Source organism: Homo sapiens, chromosome 20 (assembly GCF_000001405.40).
Source record: "Homo sapiens chromosome 20, GRCh38.p14 Primary Assembly".
In the NCBI taxonomy this organism is placed as follows: Eukaryota; Metazoa; Chordata; class Mammalia; order Primates; family Hominidae; genus Homo; species Homo sapiens.
Window position 1 is genome coordinate 5937228 of NC_000020.11, and position 16087 is coordinate 5953314.

General features: G+C 42.2%; 2 protein-coding genes across 12 annotated transcripts in view, besides 2 other annotated features; one reads left to right on the forward strand and one right to left on the reverse strand.

Annotated features, from left to right (window-relative positions):
• TRMT6 (tRNA methyltransferase 6 non-catalytic subunit) lies at window positions 1–13306 on the reverse strand. 2 transcript variants are annotated; one of them, NM_015939.5, is made up of 11 exons: window positions 13051–13306; window positions 9179–9306; window positions 7578–7687; window positions 6935–7026; window positions 6721–6804; window positions 6332–6456; window positions 5201–5559; window positions 4724–4809; window positions 4016–4118; window positions 3826–3912; window positions 1–1499 (listed from the first exon to the last, which is right to left on the reverse strand). In NM_015939.5, exons 1-11 carry the CDS (start codon window positions 13176–13178, stop codon window positions 1308–1310), a joined length of 1494 nt encoding a protein of 497 aa, NP_057023.2. In that variant the 5' UTR covers window positions 13179–13306; the 3' UTR covers window positions 1–1307. The 2 variants fall into 2 exon arrangements, with proteins under 2 accessions (NP_057023.2, NP_001268396.1); NM_001281467.2 differs by lacking the exon at window positions 7578–7687.
• Window positions 2706–2894: a silencer, noted in NCBI's record as "fragment chr20:5920579-5920767 (GRCh37/hg19 assembly coordinates)". NCBI's record gives its function as "represses an EF-1alpha promoter that drives an FKBP-Casp9 reporter gene in an ReSE screen in K562 erythroleukemia cells {active_cell/tissue: K562}" and the evidence as "EXISTENCE:reporter gene assay evidence [ECO:0000049][PMID:32094911]".
• Window positions 13302–13441: an enhancer, noted in NCBI's record as "active region_17533". NCBI's record gives its function as "activates an Ori minimal core promoter by ATAC-STARR-seq in GM12878 lymphoblastoid cells {active_cell/tissue: GM12878}" and the evidence as "EXISTENCE:reporter gene assay evidence [ECO:0000049][PMID:35858748]".
• Window positions 13425–16087, forward strand: part of MCM8 (minichromosome maintenance 8 homologous recombination repair factor) — a 48326-nt gene continuing 45663 nt past the window's right edge. For 7 of the 10 annotated variants that reach the window (NM_001281520.2, XM_047440552.1, XM_017028105.2 and 4 more), the window contains exons 1-3: window positions 13425–13850; window positions 14784–14936; window positions 15197–15301. In NM_001281520.2, coding sequence (NP_001268449.1) covers window positions 14789–14936; window positions 15197–15301 — 253 coding nt within the window. In that variant the 5' untranslated portion in view covers window positions 13425–13850; window positions 14784–14788. The remainder of the gene's footprint in view (window positions 13851–14783; window positions 14937–15196; window positions 15302–16087) is intronic. The other 3 variants (NM_032485.6, NM_001281522.2, NM_001281521.2) reach the window with 1 other exon arrangement.

The following is a 16087-nucleotide window of genomic DNA, read 5'->3' on the forward strand; positions in this document are numbered from 1 at the left end:
CCCGGCCGACATTTTTATTCTTTAATAGCAATTAGGATAAAGGACTCAAAATTGTACTTAGTAATCACATTGGCATAGCACATGCTATTTGGAAAAAAAATTTTTTTTCTGAGATGTTCCTTGCTGTATGATACAGGCCTATTCTATGACAGGAGCAACGCAAACGATGACCATGTTCCAGTGAGCAAGACTCAATCTCTCAAATGAACAAGAGCCTTGGCTGATTCTAAACACTTTCTTTGCTACAGCACATGATCAAATGATTAGAGTTTTTCAGAGCTTAGAAAGGGTAACCATCTAATCATGACAGAGTTCTTCAGCATTAATAATCAAGAAAGGCACTTTAGGGACATTTGACAAGGAATGACACTAATACAATGAGAATTGGTCTAAGTCCTGCACAAGACTTTGATACAGTTCAAATAGACTGCACACTCTTTCTGTCCCCATGTGTACATACATATTCATACAGGTGGTACAATCTATGTCTCCACTTGCATGTGTATGTATATATCTGTGTATATATAAATATATGTGTGTATATATACCAACATCTATATACATATGTGTGTGTGTGCAAATGTGTATCCATAAGACCATAGAGGGGGAAAAGACATTTGTTTCCTTTAATTGAATAGTACACAAAAATTCTAGTCACTTTATTTAGAACAAAGAATAAGAGTATTGGCAAATTAATGCAAAAAAGTACCCTACTAAACCTTTCTATGCACAAAAAAGAGCAGTAAAATAAATACTCAGAACTTTCCCAGGTTGTCAACTATTAAAATAAAACCTCAGCATTTCAAAAAAGCTTATTCCGCTGCAGGAAAGAAGGTGGACATTTTTGGTACCATAATAAATCACACACTCACACATCCATATTGCTTAGGTTGAAGAGAACGGAATGAACAGAGGAAATTTCTTCCATGAATTGCCCTCCTTTCGGTACCCGCCATGTTTTAGTTACGTTGTATTATTCCACTTAGCTTAAAATATAAAGTCTTGTAGAAACACATTTTTAGGATGTTGAAGTTCTCAAGATATTTGCACAGAATATTTAGAAGTACTTAGAGGAGTTTTGTTAAATGCAGTTGGTCATACTACATACCCCATGGTTGCAGTTTTGACAGACCAAATGCATCTGTGTCAGAAATAGACAAAAGGCATATACTCCTCCTTCCTAGAAACGGGTACATAGACATGTTCTTATTCTTGGGATATGAAAAAACAAGTAGTAATGGCATTTAAAGTTTAATTACTAACTGTATAATGCCTGAGAACAAAATTCAGAGCAATTCTCAAAAGGGTTAAGAGTCAGACTCTGGGCATTTTCGTTTTTTAGCTGCAGGCTCCTCAGTCTCGTGTGATTCTAAAGTGCTTGCATTAGATTTGAGGCTGGTGTCTGCTTTAAGGTTGTCCATGGCAACGGTGAAGCCGGAGAGAAGATAACCCCCACCTCCACTCATCAGCAGTTTAGGATGACTTCGATCTGGCAAAACCTAATCAAGACAGAAAAGACATTCATGCTTTCCTAAGACAATAAAGTCCATGCTAACAACACATATACCAAAAATCAGAATTTAAACAACACAGGTTCTCTTGATGATTTAAATGGACATTTTTTTTTCTTTCTTTTCTTTTCCCTCCCTCCCTCCCTCTCTCCCTTCCTTCCTTCCTTCCCTTCCTTCCTCCCTCCCTTCCTTCCTTTCTCTCTCTCTCTTTCTTTTTAAGAGGCAGGGTCTCACTGTTCCTCAGGCTGGAGTGCAGTAGTGAGATTTTGGCTCACTGTAACCTCGAACTCCTGGCCTCAAGTGAACCTCCCACTTTGGCTTTCCAAAGTGCTGGGATTACAGATACGAGCCACGGCACCAGGCTTTAAATGGACCAACTTCTAAGGACTAATTTCTTCACATTACAATGCAAAGAAAAGTGTAGAAATTGGTTTAATTGATTTTCTTTTGAAAAATAAAACTGGCCGGGAATGGTGGCTCACGCCTGTAATCCCAGCACTTTGGGATGCTGAGGCAGGTGGATCACAAGGTCAGGAGTTTGAGATCAGCCTGGCTAACATGGTGAAACCCCATCTCTACTAAAAATACAAAAATTAGCCAGGCGTGGTGGCACACAGCTGTAATGCCAGCTACTCGGGAGGCTGAGGCAGGAGAATTGCTTGAACCCGGGAGGCAGAGGTTGCAGTGAGCCAAGATCGCGCCACTGCACCCCACCTGGGCGACAGAGCGAGACTCTGTCTCAAAAATGAAAAAAAAAAAAAAAAGAGAAGAAAAAGAACTGAAGCAGTTTTCAGTTCAGCCCAGGTTTATCTAGAAACTGAAGCATGTTTCTGGCGGAGAATGGGTAATGGTCTTGGCAGTACTCTAGAACTGTGCATATAGCTTTCTTTCTCCTGGCTTCAGGAAGCTTCATGGCCAATAATGGAGCTTGGGTCTATGGAGAAGTTGCTACTGAATGTACTACACTCCAAACCTCCCTTCCCCGCTACCCTGTTAACTCTGCCAAGGCAACTTCTCTCCTCTTTCTCCTGTAACCTTAGCCAAGACAGACAACCTCCACAAAGGGCAGGGTTACCCAAGGCTCAATAGCATCCCCACTACAGTATGGTAAGACACCAAGCAATGAGACGGGGCCTACGGCAGCATGGAGGTGCTCCCCTCAGATCTCCCTTCATGAGGGAACAGCTGAGAGGCATTCAGGCAGTAGAACACCTCCAGCTGCCGCTCCTTTGGGATCCACTGCAGCATTCATACCGAGGGAGGCCATGGGTTGCTTCCAGTCAGTAACTGAGCATGGGTACCAGAGCTGGAGCATTTCTGCTTAACACAGGGCTCCTTGAATGGCGATCTTTCCACTTGGGCTCGCCATCAGCCTCATGGAGACTTTCTCCAGAGCAGCACTGCAGGCTCTTCCTACCATCCTCCTTTCTCTACCCGCTCCTTGCCCAGGCATCAACCTGCACCACCAATCTTGCTCCCTCTCCCCTTATCTTTCTAAGGCATTTCCCTCAATAAATCTCTTACACTTCAACTTCCATCTTAGCATATGTCTTCCAGAAGACCTGAACTGACACAGAGCCCACCAGTAAATCCTGAAAACTTGCTGCAAAAACATCCTGGCAGAGAGGAAAGGGCCAGTTTCTCATCCACCTGGGAATTTTGCTATTGTCAATTACATCATCCACAGTGATACTGAGGCCTTGGGGAAATAAGAACCATAATGGTTTGCATTTTAAATGCCTTTAGGGCAGAGTTACAGAGTAATATATTCTGACATAACAAGAGAAAAAAAGGGTCACAAAAAGTCAGGGGCATATTCTCTGAGTAACAGCCATGAGAAATCTCCATCCCTGTAGAAAGAAACAGAGACATCTCTATTTTTATTTTGTTTTGTTTTTGAGAGAGGGTCTTACTCTGTCACCCAGGCTGGAGTGCAGTGGTGGGATCTCGGCTCACTGCAGCCTCGACCTCCAGGGTTCAAGCAATCTTTCCACCTCAGCTCCTGAGTAGCTGGGACTACAGGCACCTGCCACCATGCTCGACTGATTTTTATATTTTTTGTAGATACAGGGTCATGCCCAGCCAATTTATGTATTTTTTTTTGTAGAGACAGGGTTTCACCATGTTGCCCAAGCTGGTCTTGAACTCCTGGGCTCAAGCGATCTGCCTGCCTTGGCCTCCCAAAGTGCTGGGATTACAGGCATAAGCCACTGTGCCTGGCTGAGATAACTCTATTTAATGACTTCTAGTACTACTGCAAGGAAAGTCAAGTCTCGGGAGGGCAGCTCTTGGGACTGGCTGTAAGAACACGTACCTGATAATTTCTGAGCCAGGTTTCAGACAGCCTGAGGTTGATGACCCCTCCCCTCTCCCGCAGTTTTGTGTAGCATTCCAACAGAGGCTGCAGACAACAACAGAATTCTGTTAAGAACTACTTCCTGGGATGCAGTTTAAGAATCAACATTCAGACATAAGAATTCCTGCCCATTCCATTCCAGTATTACCTCTTTGTACTGACAGTAGACCACAAACGGCCTTGAAGGGGCCACAAAGTCCAGCAAAGACAGCAGCAGGGGAGTGGGGTGGAAACGACTAGCTACAATTAAACTGTAAGGAAAATGCCAGACAAATTATTTCTCTACACCCTCAAAGTGGAGCACAGGTTTTAAAATGCATTTAAAATGATCATGTATTTAATTTGCATGACTCACAAAGAGAAGAGATTTAAATATAACATTCTAGAAATCCAAAACAGAATACAATCATGAGCTATTTCTTTCTAGGAAACGCGAACTAGGTTAGAAGCTCTTGTGGTACTTGGCAACTCTAAGTCGCATTTAATGACATTCTTGATTTTTTAAAAAAAATCACCTGGAAACAAATCCAACACTGCATAAGCTGCTTTGTGGATATCTGTTATAGCCTGTATCGCAGCATTTGAGTGCCCCATCCCCTGCATCCAGTGGGACCACAGGGCCCATCTTGATGCAGTGATGGAGAAGATTCAATTTCTTCTGAAACCCTGAAACCAGCATCATCAATTCCCCACCCCTGCCAGCCTCAGCCTCCTTTCTTTAAAAAAACCCCCAAGACAAAATCCTCATCTCGGGTCCCACTAGAGTCAAAGCAGACAAGGAGAAAGAGAATGCCAATCTGTCTGAAGCAGAGCCCACATGCACTGAGGAGTCTCCTGCCTTCTTCCATCAACGCACCCATCTGCGTTTCTTTCACTCAGCAGAGCGGCAGCCTCTAAATGTCTTTTCCTCTGCTCTTCTTGTCTCCTCTGTTTTTCCTGAATCTTCAAAAAGAAAAATAAGAAATCAATGTACTGGGGTCTTTCAGTCAAATTTATGGAAATGCTCTGGCCTGTCAAAACATTTCAACAATATTTATCAACTTGGACTAAACCAATAGAAGCAGGTTGTTTATAAGGAAGTTGCAAATACACAAGAAAGCCTATATACTATAAAAACCATGATTAAGCTATCTATGCAACGCTTCTGTATCCTAAAGCTCCATCCCGAAGACCGAATCACACGTTTGTATACATGTACACACACTCGTTCTCTGTTTTGATAGTTATCATCTTGGGAGCTAATACACCAAAGCCAAACTAAATCTCATGACTTAACTGAAGTTAACTGAGGGACTGAGATTATGGGGGTGGTGGGGACTCTTGGCATCCTTACATAATCTTTTTTGCTTCCTCTCTCTTTAGGCCCCTTATGTTCTGGATCTTGAGAAATTGTTTCCATTGTTTCCTGGTCTTCTGGGTGGTTGCTCTCTGGGGCCTCTGCCATGCTGTCTTCATTCTCTTGTTCAGAAGCCTGTTTTTCCTCCAGTGTGCCATTACTTTCTTCAACCAAAGCACTGTCTTTTGGCTCTGAAGATAACATCTTGGCAGAAAATGTTCCATGTAGAAGACTGTCCACTTTGTTGAGAGGGAATTCATAAAGACCACTGAGAAAAGATTTGGGAAATCCAAAACATGCTGTTGCTGCCCGAACAGGTCCTCCTCCAGGGTATAGCTGAATAATGGAGCCAAAACCTGAACAGATAAAAGAAACAAACATCTGCCCGTGGAGTGACTCTAGACTACGTAAACCCTCAGTGAGTCCTCCACAGTAATGAGACTGAAGGTCTTTCTATTAGTACTTTATTCAGAGGCTGAAGGATGGTGCAGCTCCTCAGGGAGTCTGTTTGGAGTCTATGAGTATTACCAATGGAGGTAATATAATTCTAAAGCAGATAGCAGGAAGACTCAAAGAAGCTTATCCCCACTTGATACTATTGTAAAACCCTGTGTCTGCAAATTTGGATGTCACATGATTGGTGACGGACTCTGCTTCCCCTCACTCCGATCCTCAAATGGAGCAGTTACAAGTTCTTACCTTCTATGGGGTCAGAAAAAAACCAGACAAATCAGGCTGTGTTGTATTCTTCCAGAGAGAATACATGCTTAGTAATCTTCCCACTCAATCCCTTCAATTTAGGCCCAATGAAATGAGCACCAGCTACCCAGGAGTTTACTAAAATCACTGTCCCGAAAGCCCTAGCCAGCCACAGGCTCCAGCATCATGCCCACTGACAGTGAAGCTAGAAAGGACAATTGCCATGGGTTTGGGGGTACCCATGGGTGGGGGGCTGGGTGATGGAGACTGTGTAAGAAGGTCCCCATGCTAGGAGCCGTGCAGGTTCACCCAAGTCACTTTGTTAACCCTGAAGTAATTCAATTTGGCTTTCCATGAGTTTACATTTTTGGACCACCTTTACTCACATCAGGGTGGGGTTTTGTTGAAAATGGAAATATTAAATCTTACCTCCCATTCGTTCCATCATTGCACCCAGCACCAAGCCTGCACACGTTTCCATCACAATCATTTTGTTGCCAGCACGGATATTTCCCAACGTCAACATCTGGGCTAGTGTATCGTATCTCATGTGGCTAAAGTAAAAACAATAATTTGTTCATTTTTAGCTAAGTAAAGCCTATTATTTTAATCATCATTTTTCAAGTTTTGTTTGCTTTATTAAAATTGTGTTGATAAGATTATTGATTGCTTTGGAGGTGACAGTAAAAGGACTTACAATTTATGAGGTAGGAGGATACTTTATGCAGGTGAGCAAGCTTTTTCATTTTACTTAAAATCATGACTTTCTTAAAGACATATTTCCCCCAATTATACTTTTGAAAGGAAACAAAGCGTACTTAATTTTTCCAGGTTCTCTTGCATAATACATAATTGAAAGAATACGGGTGGATGGCTTCACAACAGTAATGATGGCTTCATATCTGGGGGAAGAAAAAACAGAACGCTGATTTAAAAAAATGACTTAAAATATTTTATTTGTAATAAAATGTATATTTTATAAACATATAAGAAGTTTAATATTGTGGGCCTTTTAAAATAAAAACTACTTACTTTTTTTTCTTCTTTTTAATATATTTATCTTGGGCAAATTCTGTCTTGTCTCGGAATGTTGTACTATTTTCAATTAACTGCTGAACTATTTCCTATAAGAAAAGGAGCAAGTAGATTTTCTGAAACTTTACTTTCACAAAACAAGTAATTTCCAAAGGCTTCTTACCCAAGAATGGATCCAATGGTCTGATTCTCCAATCCCTTTTCCACAGAAGTCCAAATAGATGAACTTTATATTTCTATACTCTATTTGGAATTTATAATAAAATACAAGTACTTTATAACTCCACTTAAACCAACGTAAAAGAACAGAGATATCCAACAAAAGGAGAAGAGAGGTAAAGGAAACTAATTTCTGAAGACACTGGCTGAAAACATTACTGAAAATGAACAAAGTTAAATCCTGATATGCACTGTTATTACATTCTCTACCACTGACATTAGTAATGTCATTCACTTATATTCCTGTATATAAGACATAAAATCTTTGAAATGTTGAGTAACATGTACATTTCAACCTATTTCTATCAAAGCTATAACGTTATTTTTTTGTTTTACCTTAGGTACAGTCTGCTTTAAAAACCCAACAGTTTCCTAAATGCCAAACAGACAAAAACAAAACTAAAAATCCTTTGAATATTACCTCTCCTTTAATGCCCTTGTCCTTCAAAGCTTTTATGTCATCTTGAGTAAGTTTCTGAGATTTCCCATCATCAACTATATTTCGATTATCAGTGCCCGCTTCTTTAGTCTCTAAGGAAAGAAATTGCTCTATTGACATTTATGGTCTGAAATTATTTGACACTTTCTTTTTCTGAGTTCATATCCACATCCAGTCCATCAGCCACTCAAGTCTGGCCTCCCAGCTGCACTGCCCCCATCACACTATCCTTTCCTGCCAAAACTACTCCAAGCCTCTAAGTCATCTTCCTGCTCCCAGTCTTGCCCCCCTACTATCCACCTGGATGCCAGAGTGCTCTTTGTTTAAATGCAATTTGACTCATCTACCCCATGCTTAAAACCATACAGTGGCTTCCCATAGCAATAAGAATACACTCCAAAGATGACCTGCAAGGTCATAAATGATCTGGCCCCTGCCTATCATTCCTGGCCTGATCTCTTGACACTTTAGCTTCAGCCACAATGGCCTTCTTTCTGTTCCTTGAACACACCCAGCAAGGTCCCACAGCAGGCTTTTGGCACCTGCTGCTTCCTCTGCCTGGAAGGTTCTACGACAGATGTCTGAGTGGCTGGATCCTTTCTATCACTTGAGGCTGAGCTCATTCTCTTGCTTTACCAAATTAGTACACGCCCCTGCTTTATTATCTTCATAGCATGTGTCACTTCACCATCAGAAATCATGCTGTTTGCTTGTCTACTTGATTATTTTTGGTGTTCCAACTGGTAAGCACATTTTATACGACAGTCTATCTTATGAACTGCTATAATTGCAGCGCCAAATTATACCTGGCATATATTTGGTGCTTAGTAAAAATATGGATATTAATTTAAATGTATCTAAATAACAGGTTTGACTCAAAACTTTAACAGTATTTAACTTCAAATAATTACTTGTGTTTTAATTAATAAGATACTCTCAATGTTCATTTTAATAAATATAATTTTAATTAACAATAACAGCTTTTGGACAAGAGGTTGTTAAGAAATAATAATAGTAATAGCTAAAATTATGGGCCCTTACTAAAAGCAAGACACTATTCAGAACTTCCTATGAGTCATATCATAGAACACTCAATACAACCTAGGCATTAAATGTGTTTATGACCCTATTTTACATATATAAGGATATAAGACTCACAGAAATCAAATAAGTTGCCCAACGGTACAAGGCAAGTGATGAAGGTAGAAATTGAACTTAGCTGGATCCAAAACCAGACCTCTTAACCTCTACACCATATGCTAACCACCTCACAGCTGTTACATAACTTCTGGGCACTGAAAGAACTTTACATTATGTTCTTGCAATGACGCAGCAACGACTCATAGGATTAAATGCCTGGCCCAAGAACAGAGAACCATTTAATGGTGGGCTGGAGCCAGAATCCAGGTTATCTCATGGCCAAAGGCAGTACTTGCTTCACTCCACTGAGCTGCAGTTCTTAGATTATGAGTTAAGATTTCTTTTGGGATAGCATGGCCTAGCACTTGGGAATTAGGTGGAGGCTGAGATGTTTCTGACTAGTCAGTTGGAGAGCATCTATTTCACGCATCCAAAATGTGCACCTGCAGTAGGCTCTTCCCTCTTCTTCTTGGGCTGTAGACTTCCTCCACTGGTCACTTCAAATGCAGTTCCATAACTATGGCCAATGACGTTATCCAGGTAGAACCACTGTTTTTCGAAAGTTACTTTTCTAGGGAAAAAAAGTAATCAATTAACTGAATATCTTTTCTATCCAGTACAGAAAAGACATGTTCACTACAGTTTATTTCAAAAGTGGTCTCCACAATGGATGATCAGCAGCATTATCTCTGAACATAAAGCAACAAAGGAACTAGAGAGAACCTGGTTGGGATAGAGACGTAAAATTAATGAATAAGCCACAAGAACACTGAATTTTGGAAAGGGGAAGCAAAGACTCATCGAAGTAACAAGGATTTAACAAATTTCTTGGGCTTGGTCTGATCGGCCATTTTATTTGAAAATTATCTAATAAAAGCAAATTATACTTGCAAATAAACACTGACAATCTACACACTTGGAAATGGAGCCTAACACTGACAATGCTCTACTGAGGACCAGGCAACTTGAGGTTTCCTATGACATAGATTTTTTATCTTATTGCAATTTAAAAGAGAAATCCCACAGGAACACAATGCTTTCTTCTCAAAAGAAAACTAACATCTGCTGAGTGCCAACCAGGGGCTAGGCAGTGTGTGCGAGGTGTGATTCACACTTTTTGATTTAATTCTCACGGTAATCCTGGGACATAGCTCTTTCCAGAAGAGCAATCCGAGGCCCAGGGAGAAGTATCTTGTCCAAGATTCACAGTTGCAAGGTGTTGTTGGAGCTGGGATTCAAATTCAAATCTGTGTCTGACCCCAAGCCTCATTCTTTCCACTATACCACACGGTCTACTCCAGCAAAGACCTAAGGACGGTAGAAAGCCCACCTAGCTTCAGGACATGGCCCATGTGCACAGAACACTGAATTCTGGGAATCATGTGGTGGTTAATTCTGATTGTGCCCCATCCCACTCCTTCTCTTCCTTTCTCTGTGCCACCAGGAAGCTGATTACGACAGAATATACTGCCACATCACCCACGCTCCCGTGTCAGAGGCTTACCACCATTGCTGGTCTCTGGGTGTGTCACCTTTATTGGTTCCCTAAATCGGCCACACTTTTGAGTCACATCTTCATTAAAGCTTACTCAAACCATCTGAGGGAAATCCTGTATGATCGTAAGTGATTCAGATATGGCCAATTCTTGTTATTTGCTGGGTCCCTAGATACTTACATACAACAGAATGTAACAGACACTCAAAATATTTGCTAATGTAAACCTCCTCAGATGTTGCAATTCAGCTCAGCCCAGATGTGCACCCCCTATCCTCATCCTTTAATCACCTAGGTGCTTTGAAACACTGGATCTGGCCAGGTGTGGTGGGTCACACTTGTAATCCCAGAACTGTGGGAGGCCAGGTGGGTCACTTGAGTCCAGGAGTTTGAGACCAGCCTGGCTGACGGGGAAAAACTCCGTCTCTACAAAAAATAAAAAAATTAGCCAGGTGTAGTGGCACACACCTGTAGTCCCAGCTACTTGGGAGGCTGAAGCAGGAGGGTCACTTGAATTCAGGAGTTTCTCTACAAAAAGTACACAAATTAGTTACTGAGGAGGCTGAGGTGGAAGATTGCTTGAGCCCAAGAGGCAGTGGTTGCAGTGAGCCAAGTTCACGCCACTACACTCTAGCCTGGGGGACCGAGTGAGATCCCGTCTCACAAAACAAACAAACAGACAAACCAAACAAAAACACTGGATCTGAGATGGGTGGGTTTACCTCTCTGAGAGCCTATGTGATATGCAGAGGGGATGATGCGTGTCACTTAAAACTGGCTGGTTTGACAGGTCACTGCCCCAGTCGGGAATGTGGGGCCCCGTTAGAGGGATAAGGAGGCCACATCTTTACTGGGAAGGAGTAGGATTTGCAGAGTCTACTTCTCAGAGAGCCTGGACTGTTTTTTGCCCAATCAGATGAGTGTAGCCCCAAGGGTGATGAGGGAGTCTGACCTGGGATGCAGCTGAGCTGAGAGAGTCATTTCCTAAATAAAATGGAAACTGCCACTATGACTTCTGCGAAGAAGAGGGCCTGTTGAAAAGTATTTCCAAATAAATGTTTAGGGCAGTGGTCTCCAACCCTTTTGGCACCACAAAAGGGGAAGGTCAACTACTGTTCATGCCTGTAATCCCAGCACTTTGGGAGGCTGAGGTGGCCGGAATTACTTGAGCCCAGGAATTGGAGACTAGCCTAGACAACATAGTGAAACTCTGTCTCTGCAAAAAAAATTAATTAGTTTAAAAAAGAAAAAAAAGAAGAATTTAAAAATGGTTAAAGGTTGGTGCAGGTATTACATTTCCGGACTAAAAGAAACATACCCCTCATAAAAGAAACTTTTTATCTTTACTAAATTAGTGCTTGTGCAAAAAGCTTGGTTATCACCAGCTTAGTGCTCTGGAGACTTGTTTCTTGACTATTTTATGATGCTTGCTTCACCTTAAATACCAGTCAACAGTTTGCTTAAACCAGGAGTAAAAGAATTCATCTGAAGTAAGTACTTATCAGAAATTCCAAATCTCATACTTCCCAGTCTGCAGAAAGCTGTTCTCCTGACATTGCATTCAACTTATCTCTGTCAAAAGTAATACAATAACCTAGCTCAAAAGAAACTGTGGCCAGGTGCGGTGGCTCACACCTGTAATCCCAGCACTTTGGGAGGCCGAGGCGGGTGGATCACCTGAGGTCAGGAGTTCGAGATCAGCCTGGCCAACATGGTGAAACCCCGTCTCTACTAAAAATACAAAAAAAAAAAAAAAAGATTAGCCGAGTGTGATGGTGCCAGAGTCCCAGCCACTAGGGAGGCTGAGGCAGGAGAATCGCTTGAACCTCGGAGGCAGAGGCTGCAATGAGCCGAGATTGCACTACTGCCCTAAAGCCTGGGTGACAAAGCAAGACTCCGTCTCAAAAACAAAAACACTGTGGTTGTATTTCTCAGATAAATTAATCCAAATATCCCAATAAATTTTCACCATTAATAAGCTCTTAGGACTTAACAACCTCACCAGCCCTTCCAGAAAGTTATCAAAATCCCACTTCTTTACTTCTATAAAACAGAGCGATACTAGCCAGCAGGTGCACAAACCAAACCTAATTTGGAGTTCTGAGGCCTTGAGCAAATTGCTTTTTAGCAATTTTCCCAGCGTTGAATCCTTTGGTGAGTAAAACGAGGGAAACTCAAAGTGATTCCACACTCTGTGGTGAATTGTCTCCTTCATCTATTCTGTGTATCCTGCTTGGGTAGAGAAGAGGATAGAAAGCCAGACTAGGTAGGAGACGTTTCATTTTTTGTGGGATAGATCCTGACTGGGGGATTAGGGAAGAAGGAGGATCTATGGTGGAAAAAAAGGGGGAACCTGAAGGAGACTCTGGAGACAAGGATGAGATCCTAAAGTGAAGAAAGGAGGGGGTGTCTCTGGAAAGACAGTGAAGATCCCAAGGTCCTAGGGAAAGAACTTCAGGACAGGTGATTAGGGTGTGGAGAGGGAGGCATTGGCACCCTAGGGCCAAGAATGGAATTCTGGGGAAGGAACTCTGTGGAAAGACTGAAAAGGATGCTGAAGGTGGACGGCCAGATATGAAATCATGGAGGGGGCTCCGGGAAAAACAGGAGGGTTAAGGGAGATTATGAGGTTCGAAGACGGGATCCTGGTGGAAAAGCCTTCTGTGACAGAAAGACCCGAGGAGACAACGAGGGCGGGGAATGGGGACCGAGAGAGCCAAGAATGGCACCCTGGCGGAAGAATTCTGTGGAGAAACCTGGAGGGAGGGGGTATCTACAAGGTGGGGGCGGGAGACCCCTAAAATCAGCGATCTGACTTACTTTCTCCGCTGGACTTGTACTGCTTTAAACACATCTTCACGTTTCAGCACCACGAAGTCGCCGTCGCGGATGCGGTGGTCTCCGGGATGCTGTGGTTGTGGGCCCGGCTGCTCCCCTGAGCCCTCCATGACGCTCAGCCGGTCGCCGTGCTCCACGGCGTCCCGCCCCTCCTCCTCGGTTGTCGCCACCGCCAGCCTCACTTCCCACAACCTGGCGCACTAGGAGCCCTCCGACCGGCACCGCCCCCACGTGTTGCACGCCGCTTCCGCTTTCCGGCCCAGACCTCAAGACCGCTTCCGGAAGCCTCTCGGCTTCCGTCTGGCCAAACTCCTTGATTGGCTGCACTCCGCCCCGCCCCTCTCGTCTTGCCGCTTCTTTGAGCGGAAGTTGGATCACTGAAGCGCCAAAAAAGAATTTAGGGGAAGACCTGATTTTCGCTTGAGGCATTTTTGCGGCGCTGTGCGCTACAGACACCTTCTGGAAGCTGCGGTGGGGAAACTGAGTTTCCCGAGCCGTTGAGACAGATGGGGTTCAGCACCGCGCGGGGACGACAGGAAAGCTGCGGCTGAAGAGAACTGCGGACTTGGCAGGAGTCGCCTGAGGAGCTAAGATCCCGGAGACTCTTAGCCCCGTGGTGCTTCTCTACGGGAGGGAGGGAGGGAGAATCCGGCCGGACAGATCTGCGCGTATCCTGGAGCCGGCCCAGTTGTGAACTAGGAGAGCTTTGGGACCTCTGTCCCAAGCAAGTAAGAACTTTAGCCTTAGGAGATGTAAATAAAGTAGTATTTGAAGAAGCACAGGTACCCAACTGTTTCTTTTTACTCTTTCTCCAGTCCTACTTCTTAACGTTTTTTTGAATTTGTTACTGTTCTCAGCATATTGTCTCGTTTGAGAAGGGTATGGCACGCAGCGTTGTTGAAGGAGCGCCTCAGCTTGGGAGGCTGAAAGTTTTATCTCTGTACTGTCGACAAACAACTTTGATCTTGATCGGTTTGCTTAATTTCTTTGAGCATCAGTTTCATAATGTGTAATGCCTAATTATTGGAGCCCTGTCATGCCGTTAAATCGTGAACTTTCTAGTTACTATCTTGTTTTATTAACTAAACCCCTTTTAAGTAAGGATTTGGGTAGAGTATTTGATAATGAATTGCACTGCAGCGTACAGGTATATCTTTATTTACTTGTATACTTAGGATATGAATCATTTTTAAGTAGACGTGTATTTTATAAGAACAGTTTTGGATTTACAGAAAAACTGCACAAAAAATGGATGTGACACTGCAGGATTGACTGTATGTAAGAAGCTATGATGATGTATCCCTAGTGTCTCACAGGCCAGAATTATGTTCATCCTGTCCTGCCCTATAATAAGAAGTCTCAAATACTGCAAATAAGTTTTCATAGAGTTAATTACCTGTCCTATTTTCATTTCTGTAATGGGGACTTGTAAACAGGTACAGTACCTGTCCTTATTTTTAACCTGTGAGCGTCTAGTATACGTAAACCATATTTAATAGTTATTAAACTATTATGGTATACCTTAAAAAGCGATAGAGATTAGAAACTTAACTGCAGAATATTTGGGTCTTGTATCATAGCTGTACAACTTTGCAAGCCTGTTTGCTACTCTTGAACCTAGAATACATTAATTTTTCCCTTTTTATTAATACATTTTTAAGAGCACTATTTTCCTTACAGTTTTGGTGAAGACCTTTTTAATATCTATCTTTTAGGAGAGATGAATGGAGAGTATAGAGGCAGAGGATTTGGACGAGGAAGATTTCAAAGCTGGAAAAGGGGAAGAGGTGGTGGGAACTTCTCAGGAAAATGGAGAGAAAGAGAACACAGACCTGATCTGAGTAAAACCACAGGAAAACGTACTTCTGGTAGGTGAGGTCAATGATTGTTCAATTTTTTTCACTTAAGGAAGCAATTCACGTCTATCATACAAGGCGGTTTATCTCATACTTCAGTTTGTCTTTTATTTCATGCTACTCCTTAGTAAGTATTTGAACATTGATGTCCCAGATTTTTACTAAAACCCCTAATTTGGATACTCTATTAATGAGAGTCTCATTTGGAAAGAGAAGCATATTGGAAAAATGTTCACTCTGTTTCTACTAACCTAGTATTTTATTTTTTTCAGAACAAACCCCACAGTTTTTGCTTTCAACAAAGACCCCACAGTCAATGCAGTCAACATTGGATCGATTCATACCATATAAAGGCTGGAAGCTTTATTTCTCTGAAGGTAGGGTTTAAAAAGTACAAAAAAGCACCATAAATCATATTTTCTTAACTTGTCTTTGGATGCTACATCTTGTATTACTGTAATTCATTTACTAACATATACCTGCTTTAATCTTAGTTCACCCAAACAATTAAATGATGTTTATGTTTCAAAAGCATTTTAGACTTTATATCAGTCAGGAAAGCAGAAACCATACTAGGTATTTCAAAAAGGGGACTTAATACAAGAAATTGGATACAAAAATGGAAGACTGAAAGAGCAGAAAGGAAATATTGAGGTAACTCCCCAGAAAGTAGTAATTCAGGAAGCAGCAACCATCCTTATGGCTAAGAGACTAAAAGAAGTTCTGAGGTTACCAGAATGTGGGAATTCAAAGGTTGGAGAGGTCACAGCATAGCTGTTATTTTGACTTTTGAGGGGCACCCTACAAAGCTATGCTTGGACTTCTGAAGGCTACCTTACAGAGCTGTGCTTAGACCACTAAGGCAAATGAAGCTGGTTGCCACTGGTAACTGAGGGGGCATGACTCAGTGGTGCTTGGAACTGGAGGCTAGCACTATCGTTATCTTCTGCAGCTGCAGAGATGCTGAAAAGAGTTGGAAACAAGAATAAATTCCTTTCTCTTCCTGCCACCTTCCCGTCTCTAAAGTGCCTTCAATTGGCAGAATTTAAAGAGAATCTGAGACATGTAGGGTACAGATCTGAATTATAGCATCGCAGAGCAGGAAGTAGAACAGTGGGCCTGAAATCAAGGGACAATAACAAATACAGCTTTGTGTAGAAACA